Source organism: Homo sapiens, chromosome 17 (assembly GCF_000001405.40).
Source record: "Homo sapiens chromosome 17, GRCh38.p14 Primary Assembly".
NCBI lineage: Eukaryota > Metazoa > Chordata > Mammalia > Primates > Hominidae > Homo > Homo sapiens.
Genome location: NC_000017.11, coordinates 38,374,066 through 38,395,102, shown reverse-complemented (window position 1 = coordinate 38,395,102; position 21,037 = coordinate 38,374,066). Strand labels below are relative to the sequence as shown.

Sequence of the window (21,037 nt, the reverse complement as noted above, 5' to 3'; positions counted from 1 at the left end):
TGCCAAAGGCCTCCCTAGCATCACTTTTTTGTGTGTCTTTTGTTTTGTTTTTTGAGACAGGGTCTCGTTCTGTCACCCAGGCTGGAGTGCAGTGGCCCAGTCTCAGCTCACTGCAGCCTTGACCTCCCAGACTCAAGCAATCCTCCCGCCTCAGCCTCCTGAGTAGCTGGGACCACAGATGCATGCCATCGTACCCAGATAATTTTTGTATTTTTAGTAGAGACGGGGTTTCCCCATGTTGCCCAGGCTAGTCTCGAACTCCTGGGCTCAAGCAATCCACTCGCCTCAGCCTCCCAAAGTGCTAGGATTACAGGCGTGAGCCACTGTGCCTGGCTCCTAGCATCACTCATAACAGCTGAGAGTCCTGCTCCTCGGAGTAGCCCAATTATGCCAAACTAGAGACACTGCTTGGACCCAAGTGGCCAATCCCAGGCCTGAGGCTCTCGGGAAGGCCAAGAATCAAAAGTATCCCTGCTGGGAATGGGAGATACTTGTTGGGCACATCTAGCAGTATCCTGAAGGTGAGGACCCAGAAAAGCCGTTCAGAGGAGTCCCCACCAAATTCCAATTGGTTCAGCAGAGGCTGGTTCAGCAGAGAGGCTGGTTCAGCAGGGAGGCTGGTAAGTAGAAGGTAACAGCTAGGATCAAAGTTAACAAGCCTATTATTCCTGCCATTATTTCAAGCCAGGATAATCAGGTTTAGCTACCTTTTATACCCAACCCCCATAACCCCCAGTTCCTGCTTCTGAAATTTTAGGCCAGGAGACCAAAAAAAGATGATGCTTTTAAAAGAACAACTACAATCGCTTGGGCAAGCTAGGATTAGTACCGCTCAGTGCAAACCCGCCTGCTGATTGATGCCAAATAGACTCAATGGGAGTACCACACCCTTATGTATTAGCAGGCTCTGTGCTGGGGAATCCCACCCCAAAAAGGGCCCCACGCCACAGCATGGAGACATCCAGAATGGCAGGAACACTGGGATTCAAGGGAACTAAGAATATTTTGCTTTCAATAAACAAAGGGGCTATGGAAGGTAAACAAGATTCTTTGAGAAAATCTGAGTTGCAAAACCTGTCAAAGAATTCTCAGCCATTGTCATATCAAAAGACATTCTATAGACACAACTGATTGGAAAATAAAATATCTACTATTATTGGGGTTTAAGTTCAAATAGTTTTTTTGTTTGTTTGTTTGTTTTTTGAGGCGGAGTCTTGCTCTGTCGCCCAGGCTGGGGTGCAGTGGCGCGATCTCGGCTCACTACAAGCTCTGCCTCCCGGGTTCATGCCATTCTCCTGCCTCAGCCTCCCGAGTAGCTGGGATTACAGGCACCCACCACCACGCCGGGCTAATTTTTTGTATTTTCAGTAGGGACGGGGTTTCACTGTGTTAACCAGGATGGTCTTGATCTCCTGACCTTGTGATCCGCCCACCTCAGCCTCCCAAAGTGTTTGTTTGTTTTTTTAAGACAGAGTCTTGCTCTTGTCACCCAGGCTGGAGTGCAGTGGCGCGATTTTGACTCACTGCAAGCTCCAACTCCTAGGTTCAAGCGATTCTCCTGCCTTAGCCTCTCGAGTAGCTGGGATTACAGGCGCCCGCCACCACACCCAGCTAATATTTGTATTTTTAGTAGAGACGGGGTTTCACCATGTTGGCTAGTCTAGTTTCGAACTCCTGACCTCAGGTGATCCACCTGCCTCAGCCTCCCAAAGTGCTGGGATTATAGGCATGAGCCACCATGCCCGGCCCAGATAGTTTTAAAATTTTATTTGAAGGCATGAAAACAAAACAAATGAAAGCATGTACACCGCATCCCAAGGCCTTTCCATGATCACTGACAACATACTTTCCAGGGGAAAAAAAAAATCAAAATACATTATTTTATTGTTACTGAACAAGTTAAGCTCATCTTAAAAACATTTAACTCAGGCTGGGTGCAGTGGCACACGCCTATAATCCTAGTACTTTGGGAGACCAAGGAGATAAGATCACTTGAGGCCAGGAACTCGAGGCTACAGTGAGCCAAGATTGTGCCGCTGCACTCCAGCCTAGGTGACAAAGTATGACCCTGTCTCTAAAAAAAAAACAAAAATAATAATGATAACTTATTTAGTCTTTAAAACTATACTTTGAGGCAAACACCACCATCCCCATTTCACATATAAAGAAACTGAGGCCCACTGAGCTTAGAGAACTTGCTGTGGCATGGAGCCACTAAAGCCGGCCTGCCTTGAACACCTGCCCTAAGGAAGAATTATCGGTAGCTCTGCCATAGCCGAGGAACCTCTCAGCAGGGTTCTCCAGGAGGGTCTCTAGAGTGCCTGCACCTCTGCCCATCTAACAGGGAGGTTGTCCAGGACAGTCACAGCACTCTGGTTCATGACCAGCCTCTCCTAGTCCCCTCCCTGGCACTCCCACCCCTTCAAAACTAAGTCTTGTATTTTGAAGCCCTACTTCTCTCCTCTACCCACATGGCTGGTCCTCTCCATTAAAAGAAAAGAAAAAGAACTCACACGTGAATTTCTCACCTGAATATATTTAACTCAAGTGGTTTTAAGAAATAATTTTGGGTTCAAATGCCTCTTTGAATTTGTCCTGTCCCTCACTGGTATTTATATATTCTTTAGTAAATTAAACTGTGGCAAACAGAAAGCTTTGGGGGATTGGCTGTAATACTGGTAAACTCAACATGATGTTTCAGAGATAAAAGTAATTTATACATCTAATAATTTATTCCCAAAGATAACACTGTGCTTAAAGAGATCAGGATAATATGCAACATACAATTATCTGATTGTTTGCCTACTTGAATTTTAATGACCACATATACTTGCCTATTTAATTGTATTACTTTTAGCCTTTAGGTTTACAAATAGCAATTTGAAACCTGTTAATTTTCTGATATTCCCTGGTATTAATCTGACCATTTACTGTTTGCCCACAAACGCCAACAAACAATTAGAACTCTCACATTTAGAGCATGCTAACAGAAGCAGTTAAAAATGTGAAGAATCCAGGATAAGACCCAACTGGGACTAAAAGAGTAAGGGTGAAGTCGAACATTAATCGTCAGTAACTTTCTTCCAGTCCTCATGCCAGAGGTCCTGGGCACAAACCTAGTTTCTAGCCATGCACTATTTTTCGTTTCTCCCAACAAAGACCATGTTAGGGGTAAGAAATCTCTTCCAGGTATAAACACCCAAATACCCATGTCTTTCTGCCACACCAAAGGTTTTTCTGACCCCTGAAGACAGAATCAGATAAGGAATCACATCTGTTTCACATTCCAGATCTCATTTTCTTAACAGTGTAAGTAAAAAGAGAATAAACTAGGGAGTCTAGTTGACTTATATGTAATCCTCCAAGAAGAAAAAAACAAGCACAAGGTCAAAAGTAAAAGAAGGCCCAGTGCGGTGGCTCACGCCTGTAATCCCAGCACCTTGGGAGGCTGAGGTGGGAGGACTGCTTGAGCCCAGGAGTTCAAGATTGGCCTGGGCAACATAGGGAGGGAGACCTTACCTCTACAAAAATTAAAATTAAAAAAATTAGCCAGGCATTGTGGTGCACAACAGTGGTCCCAGCTACTCAGGAGGCTTAAGTGGGAGGACTGCTTAAGCCCAGAAGGCTGAGGCTGCAGTGAGCTATGATTGTACCACTGCACTCCAGCCTGAGTGATAGGGTAAGACCCTGTCTAAAAAAAAGATATTCAGCTAACAGTGAAGCACTGTTTTTTAATATCCCACTCCTTTCTTCAGCTTGAAACAGCTTAAGAAAAACTAAACAATAGTTTAGCTTAGTGGGAGCAGGGGTGAGAGGGCAGAAGATTCACTTTTCCTTATATTCCCTTGCGCACTATTTGACCTTTTTACCACATACATGTTATTTCACAATTTAAAAAGAAATACATAATAGAACTAATAAATGAGTTATGCAAGTTTACAGGATATAACATGAATGTGCAAAAAGCAATTAAATTTCTATACTCTAGCTATAAACAATCCAAAAATAATTAAAATTAAGAAAACAATTTACAATAGGATCAAAAACAAATACTAAAAAATAAATTTAACAAAAGAAATACAAAACTTATATTATGAAAAAATATGGGCCAGGCACAGTGGCTCATACCTATAATCCCAGCACTTTGGGAGGCTGAGGCAAGGTGGATGGCTTGAGCCAAAGGGTTAGAAACCAGCCTGGGCAATGCGGTGAGACCCCATCTCTACTAAAAATATAAAGATCAGCTGGGCATGGTTGTGTGTGCCTATAGTCCCAGCTACACAGGAGGCTGAAGTGCAGGACACACTGGGCCAGGGAGGTGGAGGTTGTAGTTAGTGAGCCAGGCACCACTGCACTCCAGACTGGGTGACAGTGGGACAAAAAAAAAAAAAAAGACAGAAAGAAAGAGAAGGAAGGAAGGAAGGAAGGAAGGAAGGAAGGAAGGAAGGAAGGAAGGAAGGAAAACGAACAAAAGAAAAAATATAAAACATTGTTCAAAGAGTTTTTAAAAAGACCTAAATAAGCAGAAAGACAGCCTATGTCCATGGATCAGAAGACATAATATTGTTGACATGCCAATATTCCCTCCCCAAATTGATGTACTGACTCAACTCCACACTCTTGCCAACATGGGGGTATTAAAATCTCAGTAGGCTTCTTTGCAGAAATTGACAATCTGATCCTAAAATTCATATGGAAATGCAAGAGACCCAAAATAGTCAAAACCAACTTGAAAAACAACAAAGTTGGAGACTCACACTTTTCCATCTCAAAAAGTACTACAAAACTATAGGAATCAAGACAGTAATGGCATAAGGATGGACATACAACTCAATGGAATAGAACTGAGTCCGGAAATTAACCTTCACAGTTACAATCAACTGATTTCAACAAAGATGCCAAGACAATTCAATGGGGAAAGAGTATCTTTTCAACAAATGGCGCTAGAACAACTGAATATTCACATGAAAAAGAATAAAGTTGGACTCCTTTCTCATGCCATACACAAAAATTCAAGGCTGGGTACGGTGGCTCACACCTGTAATCCCAGAACTTTGAGAGGCTGAGGTGGGAGGATCACTTAAGGCCAGGAGGCGGAGGTTGCAGTGAGCCACGATCGTGCCACTGCACTCCAGCCTCGGTGACAGAGAGAGACTCTGTCTCTCTCTCTCTCACTCTCTCTCTCTCTCTCTCTCTATATGTGTATATATATATATGTACATATATATATATATGTACACACATACACACCAAACAAAAAAATTAAAAAACAAAAATTAACTCAAAACGGATAGTAGACCTAATGTAAAAGCTAAAAGTTTAAGTCTCCTAGAAGAAAATATAGGCATTAAGCTCCATCACCTTTGGTTAGGCAAACTTTTCTAAATATAACAAGCAAAAAAAAAAAAAAAAGTTGGAATAGGAACTCATCAAAATCCTTCATGCTTCAAAGAATACCATCAAGAAAGTAAAAAGACAACCCACAGAATGGGAGAAAATATTTGTAATTTATATCTGACAAGGGACTTGTATCCAGAATATATAAAGAACTTTATTTTTTGAGATAAAATAAAAGCTGGAGTGCAGTGGCGTGATCTCGGTTCACTGCAACCTCCACCTCCTGGACTCAAGCAATCCTCCCATCTCAGTCTTCCAAGTAGCTAGGACTACAGACATGCACCACCACACTGGGCTAATTTTTAAATTTTTTGTAGAGACAGTGTCTCCCTGTATTGCCCAGGCAGGTCTTGAGCTCCTGGGCTCAAGCAATCCTCCTGCCCTGGCCTCCCTAAGTACTGGGCTTATAGGCACCATACCCAGCCTGTAAAGAACTCATAACTCAATAAGAAGACAAATAGCTCAATTATAAAATGAGCAAAGGTTGTGAATAGAGATACAATAGCCAATAAGCAGATGAAAAGATGTTAACATCATTAGTCATTAGGGAAATGCAAATCAAAACCACAATGAGCTACCACTTCATACTCACTAGGATGGCTATATTCAAAAAGATGGACAATAACAAAATCTTGGGTGCAATTGTTTTGGGAGTCTGGCATGGGGTTAAATATGGGATTACCATATGACCCAGCAATTTCACGCCTAGGAATATATCCAAGAGAATTGAAAAGATATTCACATAAACAGCTGTACATGAATGTTCAAAGAAGCATTATTTATTTCATAATAGCCAAAAACTGGAAACAACCTAAAGAATGGAGAAACAAAATGTGGTACATCCAGAGTGGAATGTTATTCAGTCATAAAAAAGAATGCTGTGCTGACAGATGCTACAACACTGGTGAACTTTGAAAACATTATGCTAAGTAAAAGAAACAAGACATAAAAATATTGTATGATTCCATTTATGTGAAATGTACCAAACAGTCAAATCCATAGAAACGGAAAACAGATTAGTGGTTGGTAGGGGCCAGGAAGTAGAGGGAATACGGAGTAACTGCTAATAGTCTGAGGTTTTCATTTTGGTGTGATGAAAACATTCTAAAATTGATTGTGGTGATTGTTGTACAACTCTGTGAATATACTAAAAACCACTGAATTGCACAGTATTTTTTTTTCTTGAGACACAGTCTTGTTCTGTCTTCACCCAGGATGAAGTACAGTGGTGTGATCTCAGCTTACTGCAACCTCTGCCTCCTGGGTTCAAGCAATTCTCCTGCCTCAGCCTCCTGAGTAGCTGGGACTACACGTGCTCACCACCGCTCCTAGCTAATTTTTGTATTTTTTTTTTTTATCAAGATGGGGTTTCATGCCATGTTGTCCAGGCTGGACTTGAACCCCTAGGCTCAAGTAATCTACCTTCTTTGGCCTTGAATCACACATTTTAAATGGGTGAATTTCATGTTATGTGAATTATATCTCAATAAAGCTGTTAGATAAAAGCAAGGAAGGAAGGGAGGGAGAGAGGGAAAAATACCCCGACATGAAGAGCCTTCTGCTGGTTAAAGGTGAGACAATACGAGCTTCAATAATTATAACTGTAATGAATTAAAAGCCATTAAGTGGGCCAGGCACGGTGGTTCACACCTATGCCTATAATCCTAGCACTTTGGGAGGCCAATGCAGTTGGATCACCTGAGGTCAGGAGTTCGAGACCAGCCTGGCCAACATGGCGAAATCCCGTCTCTACTAAAAATACAAAAAAATTAGCCAGGTGTAGTGGCACGTGCCTGTAATCCCAGCTACATGGGAGGCTGGGGCAGGAGAATCGCTTGAACCCGGGAGTCGGAGGTTGCAGTGAGCCAAGATCACGCCACTGCACTCTAGCCTGGGTGACAGAGTGAGACTCTGTCTCAAAAAAAAAAAAAAAGAAAGCCATTAAGTATGTTTAATTCCATGAATTTTATATGTATATAATATATAGTATATATATAATATGTATAATATAAATATATAAATATATAAAATATATAGTATAATATATACAATATATAGTGTATATAATATACAATATATTGTATATATAATATACAATATATTGTGTATATAATATATACAATATATTGTGTATATATATTATGTATTGTGTATATATATACTATATATTGTGTATATAATATATACAATATATTGTGTATATATATTATGTATTGTGTATATATATACTATATATTGTGTATATATGTATATATTTTTTTGAGACAGAGTCTCTCTGTCACCCAGGCTGGAGTGCAGTGGGGTGATCTCGGCTCACTGTAATCTCCACTTCCCAGGTTCAAGTGATTCTCCTGCCCCAGCCTCCCAAGTAGCTGGGATTACAGGTGCCCACCACCACGCCCGGCTATTTTTTTTGTATTTTTAGTAGAGGATGGGGTTTAGCTATGTTGGCCAGGCTGGTGTTTAACTCCTGACCTCAGGTGATCCAACTGCCTCGGCCTCCCAAAATGCTGGGATTACAGGCGTGAGTCACTGCACCTGGCTGAATTAATCATATATATATATATATATACATACATATATATATATATATATATATATATTTTTTTTTTTTTTTTTTTTTAAGATAAGAGTCTCGCTCTGTCGCCCAGGCTGAAATGCAGTGGCGCGATAGCTCACTGCAAGCTCTGCCTCCCGATTCACACCATTCTCCTGCCTCAGCTGCCCGAGTAGCTGGGACTATAGGTGCCCACCACCACGCCCAGCTAATTTTTTCTATTTTTTAGTAGAGACGGGGTTTCACCGTGTTAGCCAGGATGGTCTCAATCTCCTGACCTCATGATCCGCCCACCTCAGCCTCCCAAAGTGCTGGGATTACAGGCATGAGCCACTGTGCCCGGCCATTAATTATATTTTTCAAATGGTCACCTTCAAAGGATGATAGGGAACCAATTCGTTATCTTGAAAATTAGTAAATAAAGAAAAAGAGTCAAGCATTTATCCTGCTTTTTCTATATGAATTTGGTAAATAATAAATGAGGAGAAATGTCTCTATAAAACTATTCCATCTAATAAATAAAAAGTGATAAAATTAGAGTATCATCATTTTGCAACTCCCAATGAACAGCTGCTAAGATCACAAAAAGAGACACAACCAGACATCATGTGTTTCCTATGGGCATGCCAAATACTACCTATATAATCTTGCTAAAAGGATCAAGCCTCAGTTTTTTTGTTTGTTTCTGAGATACAGTCTCACTCTGTCACCCAGGCTGGAGTGCAGTGGCATGAACACAGCTCACTGTGGCCTTGACATCACAGACTCAAGCGATTACCCTGCCTCGGCCACCTGGCTAATTTTTTTTTTTTTTTTTTTTTTTTTGAGACACAGCCTCCCTCTTTTGCCCAGGCTGAAGTGCAGTGGCACAATCTTGGCTCATTGCAACCTCCGCCTCCTGGGTTCAGGCCATTCTCCTGCCTCAGCCTCCCAAGTAGCTGGGATTACAGGTCTGGGCCACCATGCCTGGCTAATTTTTATATTTTTAGTGAGACAGGGTTTCCCCATGTTGGTCAGGCTGGTCTCAAACTCTTGACCTCAGGTGAGCCACCTGCCTCGGCCTCCCAAAGTGCTGGGATTACAGGCCTGAGCCACCGCGCCTGGCCTCGGCTAGTTTTTAATTTATTTTTTTGGTAGAGACAGGGTCTTACCATGCTGCCCAGGCAGGTCTTGAACTCCTGGGTATAAGCGATCCTCCTGCCTCACCTCCCAAAGTGCTGGGATTTTAGGCATGAGCTACTATTATATGTTCAGTCAAGCCTGAGTTTGAATCAGACTCCTGCTAATTTGTAAGAAATACAGAAGACAGGACAACATGCTAAACTCCAACAAGAGTACGTAATTAGTAAAATCCAAGGAAATTTTCCAGGTCAAACAGCCCAATTATTCAATAAGTAAATCGTAAGGAAATGAAAGAAAAAGCCACAGATTAAGATATTTAAAAGACATGAAATTTTTTTCAAATGAGCAATATCAAACTATAGTGTTCAGGGATATACACTGGGGTGATAAAAGCATTCATGGAAAAATGAAAGGAAGTGATTATTATAAAGACAGGTGTAGAGATTAGTATGGGGCACACGGAAGGATTTCTGGAGTGGCTGGAAAAGTTTTGGTTCCTTTGCCTGAGTGGTGTTCACCTTATAATAATATTAAACCATGCATATGATTTTTGTGGTTTTCTATTTAAAAAAAAAAAAAAAGAAAGAAAAGAAATTCAGATGAAGTAATGCTGTCACGCTGCTCCCCCTCCCCAACGAATCCAAATTGGGTAAGCCTTTGAATTCAATTACCATTTTACAGGAAATTCAGAGTACAGAGGAACATATTAAACAACGTCATGGAGAAGCAATAGGTAAACTCCAAACATAACAATATTTTAAATATATAAATTGCAAGAAAAAAAGGGAAAAAGAAATGGAGGAAGAAAACTACAAATTAAAAAAGAAGTGCTGCTGGGCACGGTGGCTCACACCTGTAATCCCAGTACTTTGGGAGGCTGAGGCGGGTGGATCACGAGGTCAGCAGTTCAAGACCAACCTGACCAACATGATGAAACCCCGTCTCTACTAAAAATACAAAAAATTAGCTGGGCGTGGTGGCGGATGCCTGTAATCCCAGCAACTTGGGAGGCTGAGGCAGGAGAATTGCTCAAAACCGGAAGGCGGAGGTTGCAGTGAGCTGAGATTGCGCCACTGCACTCTAGCCTGGACAATAAGAGCAAAACTCCGTCAAAAAAAAAAAAAAAAAAAAAAAAGAGCTGGGTGCAGTGGCTCACGCCTGTAATCCCAGCACTTTGGGAGGCTGAGGCGGGTGGATCACAAAGTCAGGAGTTCAAGACAAGCCTGACCAACATGGTAAAACCCTGCCTCTACTAAAAATTAAAAAATTAGCCAGGTGTGGTGGTGTGTGCCTGTAATCCCAGCTACTCAGGAGGCTGAGGCAGGAGAATCACTTGAACCCGGGATGTGGATGGTGGCAGTGAGCCGAGATCGCACCACTGCACTCCAGCCTGGGTGACAGAGGGAGACTCCATCTCAAAGAAAAAAAAAAGAAGCTGGGCATGGTGGTTCACACCTGTAATCTCAACACTTTGGGAGGCTAAGAAGGGAAGATCACTTGAGCCCAGGAGTTCATGACCAGCCTGTGCAACATAGAAACACCTTGTCTCAACAAAAAAATTGAAAAATTAGCCGAGCATGGTGGCCCATGCCTGTAGTCCTAGCTACTTGGGAGGCTGAGGTGGGAGGATCACTTGAGCCTGGGAGGTCAAGGCATGATTGCACTACTGTACTCCAGCCTGAGTGACAGAGTGAGACCCTGTCTCAAAACAAAACAAAACAAAACAAAAGTATATTTAAACACTAAACACTAATATGCAATGAAGAAGTGGACAGGTATACAAACAGGGCAGGAGTGGCCATGGGCTGATGGTTGCTGGGGCTGGGTGATGGATACACAGGGTTTATTACACCATTCTGCACACCATACAAATAAACATAAAGCAGGTAATAAGCCAGGAATAAGTCTAGTTTGCAAATATCCTCAAGGGAGTCTTACGGTGTTGCTAAAGGGGGTCATGCAGCCAGAGCAAGGAGGGGAGCCCCATCAGTGGCATGACTCTGTACCTATAAAACAAGGACGAACCGCTTACTGGGGAGATGCTCAGAGACACTGGTCACAAATCCCCAGGAAAGGACTCCTGGCTTCTTTCACAAGCGTAAGTGAAATAACCTCTTCTGAGTATGTCTAATATCTCATCAGCAAATGTTTGAGTGTTCTAATATACAAAATAATATAGAGCAGGCTGGGCGCGGTGGCTCACCCCTGTAATCCCAGCACTTTGGGAGGCCGAGGCGGGTGGATCACCTAAGGTCAGGAGTTCGAGACCAGCCTGACCAATATGGTGAAACCCCGTCTCTAAAAAATACAAAAATTTAGCCGGGCGTGATGGTGGGCGCCTATAATCCCAGCTACTCAGGAGAATTGCTTGAACCCAGGAGGCAGAGGTTGCGATGAGCCGAGATTGCGCCACTGCACTCCAGCCTGGGCATAACAAAGTGAGACTTCATCTCAAAATAATATAGAGCTAAGGAAAGACAGTTCTTGCTCTGGATGACCTGGCAATCAGACAGGTAAGATAAAATAACGACAAAGGGCATCTCAAAGGATATCACAAGGATATCTGAGGGGCCACCCAGAGTATCATTCAACACATATTATCTTGGGTACCACCTTTATAGGGCCAGGAGAACACCAGAGATACCACCTTAAACACTTCCTATGCACCTACATCTTAGAGAGCACTGAGAAAAGTAACATCTGTTGAGTGCTTACTCTGTGTCAGGCATTGTCTTAAATATTTTACATGAGTTAACTCTTGCATTCCTCAAAACAACCCTATAAGTGAGGTACTATAATCATCCCCATTTTACTGTTGAGGAAACTGAGGCAAGAGAGGTTCAGTTCATGCCTAAGATCACAGAGCTAGTAACTGGCAGGACCTGGGGTAGCACTCGGTGCTCTGGATCCAGAACTTGTACTTTTTAACCCCTATGGTATATAACAATGTTTCCCAACTGGGGATGATTTTGGCCCCCAGGGACATATGGAGACATAATGTGATTGTCACAGCTTGGGGTGGGGGTGAGTGCTCCTGGCATCTAGTGGGCAAAAGCTAGGGCTTCCTCCAATACACGGGACAGACCCCACAACAAAAAACTGTCCAGCCTAAAATGTCAATAATGCAGAGCTGAGAAACCCTGGTAAACAGGGAAGACATGTCACTGAACAAGTAATTATAAACTTAACAAGGGTTACAAAAGAGGAAGTAACCAATTTCCTTAAAGAGCTGTCCAATTCCGCCAAGCGTGGTGGCTCACGCCTGTAATCTCAGCACTTTGGGAGGTTGAGGCAGGTGGACCATGAGGTCAAGAGTTTAAGGGCAGCCTGGCCAACATGGTGAAACCCCGTCTCTACTAAAAATACAAAAATTAGCTGGGCGTGGTGGCGGGCGCCTGTAATCCCAGCTACTCGGGAGGCTGAGGAAGGAGAATCGTTTGAACTCGGGAGGCGGAGGAGGTTGCAGTGAGCCGAGATCGTGCCATTGCACTCCAGCCTGGGTGACTGGGGTAGACTCCATCTTGAAACAAACAAACAAAAATGAGCTGTCCAATTCAAAGCATGATTTTTTTTTTTTTTTTTTTTTTTTGAGATAGGGTCTCGCTCTATTACTCAGGCTGGAGTGTGGTGGTGCAATCACAGCTCACTGCAGCCTTGACCTACCCGGCCTAAGAGATCCTCCTACCTCAGCCTCCCAAGCAGCTGGGACCAAAGGCACACACCATCACATGTGGCTAGGCTTTTTTGTTTTGTTTTGTTTTTGTAGAGATGAGGTCTCTCTACATTATCCAGGCTAGTTAGAACTCTTGGGCTCAAACAATCCTTCCACCTCTACCTCCCAAAGTGCTGGGATTACAGATGTGAGCCACCAAGCCTGATCAAAGCATGATTTTTTAAAGATATTTTTTTCTTCACGAACTTTACAGATGAAGATTCTCTCAATTAAAAAGGGTATGTTTGCTTTTAGCCTGGCTCTAATAGGATCAGAGGTTTTGTGTGACATCAGTCACACTCTCACTGCTGTCTGGTGTTAGGGGTTTAGTTTTTTTAGGTTTTTTTTTTTTTTTTTTTTTTTTTTTTGAGACAGAGTCTTTGGAGTGCAGTGGTATGACTTGGCTCACTGCAATCTCCAATTCTGGGGCTCAAGCAATTCTCATGCCTCAGCCTCCTAAATAGCTAGGACTACAGATGTGCACCACCATGCCCAACTAATTTTTTGTATTTTAGTAGAGATGGGGTTTCACCATATTGCCCAGGGTGGTCTTGAACTCCTGAGCTCAGGCAATCCGCCCACCTTGGCCTCCCAAAGTGCTGGGATTACAGGCGTGAGCCACTGCGCCAAGCCTGATACCAGTCTTAACACCCTCCTACTGCATCCAGCTCTGGGATCTGAGCCAGAAAAACCTGAGATCTCATCCTGGTTCTGCAACTCACTGGACCTCAGTTTCTTTTGCTTTTTCAAAAAGAAAAAAAATAAAAAGGAGACGGTACTATCCCCTCAAAGGGTAACACTTGGTTAAATGGAATAACACCTGGCTCCTTGTAGGTGTTCAGTTGTCATCATTCCAAAGTCTGAACACACAGCCTCCTTTCTGAATCGATCAAGTTAAAATCCCTGACGCAGACTGACAGAGCTCAACCTAAATGCTAATACCTACCTCTTCCTCACCCTAATAGTCTCCTCTAATAAAATCAAGCTTATATAATGCCTTCCCCTTTATAAGCAAAAGAGGGCAGCAAACAGTGGTAAAGGCTTTGTCTTCTTTGGCCCTATCCTTCAAAGAGAGGTCACTTAGGGTCGAGGGGCAATAGCTCTGCTTTGCCCTCTCAACTTGATTACAATTTTAAGTATACACAGATATTCAACTGGAGCATGTGCACCCTCCTGCCCCCAGTAAACATGGTTCTACCTTCTTTAGGTAGTTTCCACAAATGCCAGCAAACTTTCAATCTGATTACTACTACCTCTTCCAATAACAGACCGGTGGGAAATAAAGTCAAGGATTTGTAGTCAAGCCCAGGTTTGAATTCTGGCTTCAGCACTGATCAACCGAGTTACCTTTAGAGTAAGTAACTTAACTTTTGAGCTTCAGCCTCAGTTTCCTCACTGGCAAAATGAAGTCTCATGTATTATTTTATTTTTAAATTTATTTTATTTTTATTTTTTGGAGACAGAGTCTCCCTCTGTCACCCAGACTGAAGTGCAGTGGCTTAATCTTGGCTGACTGCAACCTCCACCTCCCAGGTTCAAGTGATTCTCCTGCCTCAGCCTCCCAGGTAGCTGGGACTACAGGTGCCCGCCACCATGCCTGGCTAATTTTTGTATTTTTAGTAGAGGTGTGGTTTCACCATGTTGGACACATCATTATCATTATTATTATTATTTTTTTTTTTTTGAGACAGAGTCTTGCTTGGGGGCCCAGGCTAGAGTGTAGTGGCACAATCTCAGCTCACTGCAACCTCAGCCTCCTGGGTTTTAAGCGATTCTCCTGCCTCAGCCTCCAGAGTAGCTAGGATTACAGGCGTGCACCACCACACCTGGCTAATTTTGTATTTTTAGTAGAGGCGAGGTTTCACCACGTTGGTCAGGCTGGTCTCAAACTCCTGACCTCAGGTGATCCACCCACCTCGGACTCCCAAAGTGATGGGATTACAGGCGTGAGCCACCGAGCCCAGCCATATTATTTTAATAGATTGATCTATATTACCTAACTTTGAGGTTGTTGTAAAAATGTCAATATATTTAAATAAAGAGCCTGGCCAAGTACCTGGCATCTAACAGGCACTCAATATTAATAGTTGCAAACACTACACACTCTAGCCCTTAATACAATGCTAAGAATCTTGGTTAAAATATCTGCAGACAGGGTACATTTGTACAATGAAATAAGCTGTATCTGAGGAGTCCAATATTCCACGAAGTTTTCTCAATATTCTACAAATAGAGTGATGTTCCAGAGTCCAGAATCTTCTTTGAGATTTCCCGGGCTTGTCCACAGGCAGAGCTGACTACCCTACTCTTGCTGGTTACCACCACATGCTTTATACTGACTTGAACATGTGCTCTGACCTTTGTCTTCCTTCCTGTCCCTTCTTTTAGACTATGACTTCTCTGAAGGCAGAAAGGTAGCTTATTTTTGATAATTAAGTTACAAAATAAATGTTTGTTAAATAAAAACCCCCCAAAAAGCCATAAACTTTAAAAACTGCTAAGCAGAGTCAACTCCTATAAGGAAGGAATCTAACTTTTCCCTTTAAGCAAGTCAACTGCACAAGACCCAACTGTGTTGACAGCACTGAGGCAAAACTAAATGAAGTGAGAATTAATACAGTTCACACCCTGTCATGCCTTATTCAAATCCCCAAGATTACAAGAAACATTCCTGTCACCTGGCTCAACCTGTTCCTAGTCTTCTGCCTGAGGCTCCCCTGAGCTCCTACAGTTTAGAGCAATTTCTAGGTGTTCTGTTCAAGAATCTTAATTTGATTCAATGGGAAAGCATGAAGTTCTCATTTTAAGTTGTTTCTTTTTTGTTGTTTTTGTTTTTTTGAAAGAGTCTGGCTCTGTCGCCCAGACTGGAGTGCAATGGCGCAATCTCAGCTCACTGCAACCTCCGCTTCCTAGGTTCAAGCAATTCTCCCGCCTCAGCCTCCTGAGTAGCTGGGATTACAAGGCACCTGCCACCACACCTGGCTAATTTTTGTATTCTTAGTACAGACAGGGTTTCACTATGTTGGCTAGGCTGTCTCGAACTCCTGACCTCAGGTGATCTGCCCGCCTCAGCCTCCCAAAGTGCTGGAATTACAGGTGTGAGCCACCAACCCCTGCCTTGTTTTTTTTTTTTTGTTTTTTTTTGTTTTTTTTTTTTGAGACAGGGTCTCGCTGTGTCACCCAGGCTGGAGTGCAGTGACGTAATCTTGGCTCATTGCAGCCTCTGCCTCCCAGGCTCAAGTGATCCTCCCACCTCAGCCTCCCAAGTAGCTGGGACTACAGACGCCTGGCATCACACCCGGCTAATTTTTGTGTATTTTGTAGAGACATGGTTTCACCATGTTGCCCAGCCTGGTCTTGAACTCCTGGACTTGAGCAATCTGCCTGTCTCAGCCTCCCAAAGTACTGGGATTATTACAGTGTGAGCCACCATGCCTGGCTTAAGTTGTTTGCATCTTACAAGTTCCTCATATTAATGTCCGTGTCATTTTGTCTTACCCAACACTATAAAGGCAGATTGCTCCAAACAATCCCCTCTTGCCCTCCACAGATTATACAGACACCTCCCTAACTTAGTGGGCAGGAAGACTATACAATCACATCAGCAAGGATAGCAACTGCCCAGTGCTCCCAAATGGAGAGAGGTCTTGTATTCATCAATGGTAGGGATGGCAAGATACAAAACAAAGTATTTACTATTCGGCAGCAAGTTTAGTACAACATGGGCAAACCCACAGCAGATACTTCCTAACAGAGTGCAATGTGCAACTGGATTTGGCCCTTACTTTTTCTTTTTTGGGGGAGACAGGGTTTTGCTCTATCACCCAGACTAGAGTGCAGTGGCATGATCACAGCTCACTGAAGCCTCGACCTCCTGGGCTCAAGTGATCCTCCCACCTCAGCCTCCCAACTAGCTGGAACTATAGGCATGTGCCACTATGCCTGGCTAATTTTTTATTTTTTTAAGAGATGGGGTCTCAAATTCCTGGGATCAAGCAATCCTCCCACCTCGGCCTCTCAAAGTGCTGGGATTACAGGCATGAGCCACCACGCCTAGCCATACTGAGCCCCACTGACGCTCGCCCCTGCCTTTCTGGTAAACATTCTCCTACCTTCCCCGTTCCTATGGGTAGGACCTGAGAGCTCTCATCTTTCTGCTTCACTTATAAATGTTGAGATGCCTAGATCAGGGATACCTCCAAATGTCAAATGTTCACATGATGCCTGGACATCAGAGGTGGAAGCAGTTTTCTCATTCACGTGGTTAGAGAAGCAAAGATTCCTCCTCAGTATGCTGAGAGATTAATGTACAAAGGCAGGGGATTAACCATGGGACTCTGTAAGAGGAGTGGTGGCTCCAACAGCCAGGGAAAAAAAGCTTAACCATGGCCTTTTGTGGGGATGGTGTTTTTTGACACTAAACTGGATCATACCCAACTTAAGTTAAATAATTAACAGAAGTACAGCCTTACCTGGAACCCTGGATCTTAAGAAATAGAGAAACTTTCCATTCTTGGAGTGCATAATGGCTCTCTTAATAAACTCTACAACAGATTGACAGCGGTCCTCAAACTTGGGATGACACCACAGGCTGAAGGTTCCTGCCATGGAAAATTAAGAAGTAAAAATTTTAAAACTTACTTCAGAAGACATGAGAGGCTGGTTTGAATATTTTAACTATGATTCTCACTTTTGGGAGGGCAGTTTGGGGGCAAGCTGGCTCAAAGGTCTCTGAAGCTACCTGTTCCTGCTTATCTCACAGTTAACTGTAAAAAGATGTTGCCTTTTGTAAGACATAAATTAGGTCTTACAAGGTTTTTGTTAAGTAAATACAAGCTAAGTACTCCTTATCCGAAATGCTTGAGACCAGAAGTGTTTCAGATTTTGGATTTTTTCATATTTTTGGAATATTTGCATTATACTTACCAGTTGAACATTACTAATCCAAAACTCTGAAATCCAAAGTGCTCCAATGAGCATTTCCTTTGAGCATCATGTCAGTGTGCAAAAAGTTTCAGATTTTTAAGCATTTTGGATTTCAGATTAGGGATACTCAACCTTTAATAATTTCAAATCAGAAAAAATGATATAAAATTGTTCACTGAGTATGAACATTAATCTTTAAATCACAGGCTTCCTCTCTCTATATAGATGTACTTATTATGTATATTAAGTATAGGTACAGTCATGCATTACTTAATGACAGAAATATGTTCAGAGAAATGCATCATTAGGCGAACATCAGAGTGTACTTATCCAAACCTAGATGGTGTAGCCTACTACATACCTAGGCTATGTGGTACAGCCTATTGCTGCTAGGCTACAGACCTGTATAGCATGTTACTGTGCTGAATACTGGAGGCAACTCTAAAGAATGGTAAGTATTCATGTACCTAAACACATTTAAACATAGAAAAACTACAGTAAAAATACAGTAATATAATCTTATGGGACGACTGTCATATATGTAGTCTATCATTGACCAAAATGTTGCTAAACAGTGTATGACTGTGTACACATATAAGCAGGTCTTTGAATAACATTTTGTTCAGTGTTGTTACCTTATAACTTTTTTTTTTTTTTGCGACAGGGTCTTGCTCTGGCACCCAGGCTGGAGTGTAGTGGCGTGATCTTGGCTCACTGCAACCTCCACTTGCTGGGTTCAAGTGATTCTCCCGCCTCAGACTCCTGAGTAGCTGGGATTACAGGCACCTGCCACCACGCCTGGCTAATTTTTGTATTTTTAGTAGAGACAGGGTTTCACCACGTTGGTCAGGCTAGCCTCGAACTCCTGACCTCAAGTGATCCACTCGCCTCGGCCTCCCTAAGTGCTGGGATTACAAACGTGAGCCACCATGCTTGTTTCCTTGTAACGTTGATAAGAAAAAAAAATTGATTTCCGGCCAGGACCACTGTCTGTGTGGAGTTTGCACATCTGCACAGGTTTTCTCTGGGTATGCTGGTTTCCTCCCATATCCCAGAGATGTGCGTGTAAGGTGAAATGGCATGCTAAGCTGTGCCAGTCTGAGTGTGGGTGTGTGGGTATATGCACCCCGATGGAATGGTGTTCTGTCCAGGGTTGTTCTGCCTTGCATCCTGAACTGCCAGGATAGGCTCCGGCCATTTGTGATCCTGAGCTGGAATACTTGGGTAAATGATTACCTAACTTATTTTCATTAATCTTTCTTACATGTGTGTATAGTTTACATATATTTCACTGTTTAATACTGGTCTTTATTTAGAAGTGTTTTGGTCTTTATTTAGAAGTTTGGTCTTTACTCCAGCCTGACCAACATGGAGAAATCCCGTCTCTATTAAAAATACAAAATTAGCCAAGCATGGTGGTACATGCCTGTAATCCCAGCTACTCGGGAGGCTGAGGCAGGAGAATTGCTTGAACCCAGGAGGTAGAGGTTGCGGTAAGCCGAGATCACACCATTGCACTCCAGCCTGGGCAATAAGAGCGAAACTTTGTCTCAAAAAAAAAAAAAATTGGTTTTGTTATACGTCATTTTGCTTAAAGTCAGTTTCCAAGAACCTATTAATGACCTTTAAGTGAGGAATGACCAATTTACATACATAAACTGACCCTTGAATAATGTGGGGGGGAGCATGAACCCTATCCCAATGGCCCAACATCCTCCTCAACCCCACCAAAATAAAAAATCCACATATAAAAATCCATTTGACTCCCCCAAAACTTTACTAACAACGTACTGTTGACTGAAAGCCTTACCAATAATATAAACAGTCGGTTAACATATATTTTGTATGTGATATGTATTATATACTGTATTCTTACAATTAAGCTAGAAAAAGGAATACTATTAAGAAAACACTATTAAGAAAATAAGAGAAAATATATTTACTATTCATTAAATGGAAGTGGATCATCATAAAGTGATCATAAAGTGGATCTTCATAAAGGTTTTCATCCTCATTGTTTTCAAACCAAATAGACTGAGGAGGAAGAGGAAGAGGAAGAGGGGGGTGTCTCAGGGGTGGCAGAGGTAGAAGAGGTAGAGAAGGTGGAAGGGGAAGTAGGAGAGGAAGGCACATGTGGTATAAATTTATGGAAATGTTATAATTTGTCTGACTTTTTTTGCTTTTTCTATTTTTAGAAACAGGGTCTCACTCTATCACCCAGGCTAGAGTGCAGTGGCATGATCACAGCTCACTGCATCCTTGAACTACTGGGTTTAAGTGATCCTCCTGCCCTAGCCTCCTGAATAGCTGAAGCTACCAGCCCAGGCTGGTCTTGAACTCCTGGCCTCAAGTGATCCTCCTGCCTTGGCCTCCCAAGTGCTGGGATTACAGGCTTGAGCCTCCACACTCAGGTTTGCTTTTTCATTTCTCTAAAAATGTTTCTATATGGTACCAATTCTTCTTCTACCATTTGCTTTGGTTTTAGTGCCCATATCATAGAAGGGTCCAAGTCTAAAATAACTCAAAAGCAGTCTCAAATAACCTCGACCCTTCTGCCAGATTGCCTGACATTAATGTTTTCTGGCACTGTTTCTTCTACGTCTTCTTCCTCGTCATCTGGCACTGACTCAGAAGAACTCATCTCCATCAAGTCACCTTCAGTTAATTCCTCTGATGTGGTATCTATGAGTTCTTGAATTTCTCTAAGATCCCTATCTTGAAATCCTTCACCCTTCACCTTCTTTTTTTGCCATATCTCTTTCATGATTTCCTTGATTGGCTCTGTCACAGATCCTATGAAGTCACATACAATTTCTGGACACAGTTTTCTTCAGCAGTAATTTATTGTTTTGGGCTTGATGGCTTTCACAACTTTTTCTTTTGAGACAGGGTCTCACTCTGTTGCCCAGGCTGGAGTGCAGTGGCATGATCACGGTTCACTGCAGCCTTGACCCTCCCGAGTACCTGGGACTACAGGTACGCATGACAGTGCCCAGCTAATTTTTGTATCTTTTGTGGAAATGTGGTTTCACCACGTTGCCCAGGCTGGTCTCTAACTTCCAGGTTCAAGTGATCTGCCCGCCTTGGCCTCCCAAAGTGCTGGGATTACAGGCATGAGCCACTGCACCTGGCCCACAATTTCTTCTATAACAACTATGGCATTTTTTTTGAGACAGAGTCTCACTCGGTCGCCCAGGCTGGAGTGCAGCGAAGCAATCTTGGCTCACTGTAACCTCCACCTCCCAAGTTGGAGCGATTCTCCTCCCTCAGCCTCCCAAGTAGCTGGGATCACAGGCGCGTGCCACCAGCCTGGCTAATTTTTG

General features: G+C 42.7%; 1 protein-coding gene across 3 annotated transcripts in view; it reads right to left on the bottom strand.

Moving 5' to 3' along the window:
* Window positions 1-21,037, bottom strand: part of SOCS7 (suppressor of cytokine signaling 7) — a 53,750-nt gene that overhangs the window by 10,491 nt on the left and 22,222 nt on the right. For all 3 annotated transcript variants that reach the window (NM_014598.4, XM_017024551.2, XM_017024552.2), the window contains one exon: window positions 17,261-17,389. In NM_014598.4, the coding sequence (NP_055413.2) occupies window positions 17,261-17,389 (129 nt within the window). The remainder of the gene's footprint in view (window positions 1-17,260; window positions 17,390-21,037) is intronic.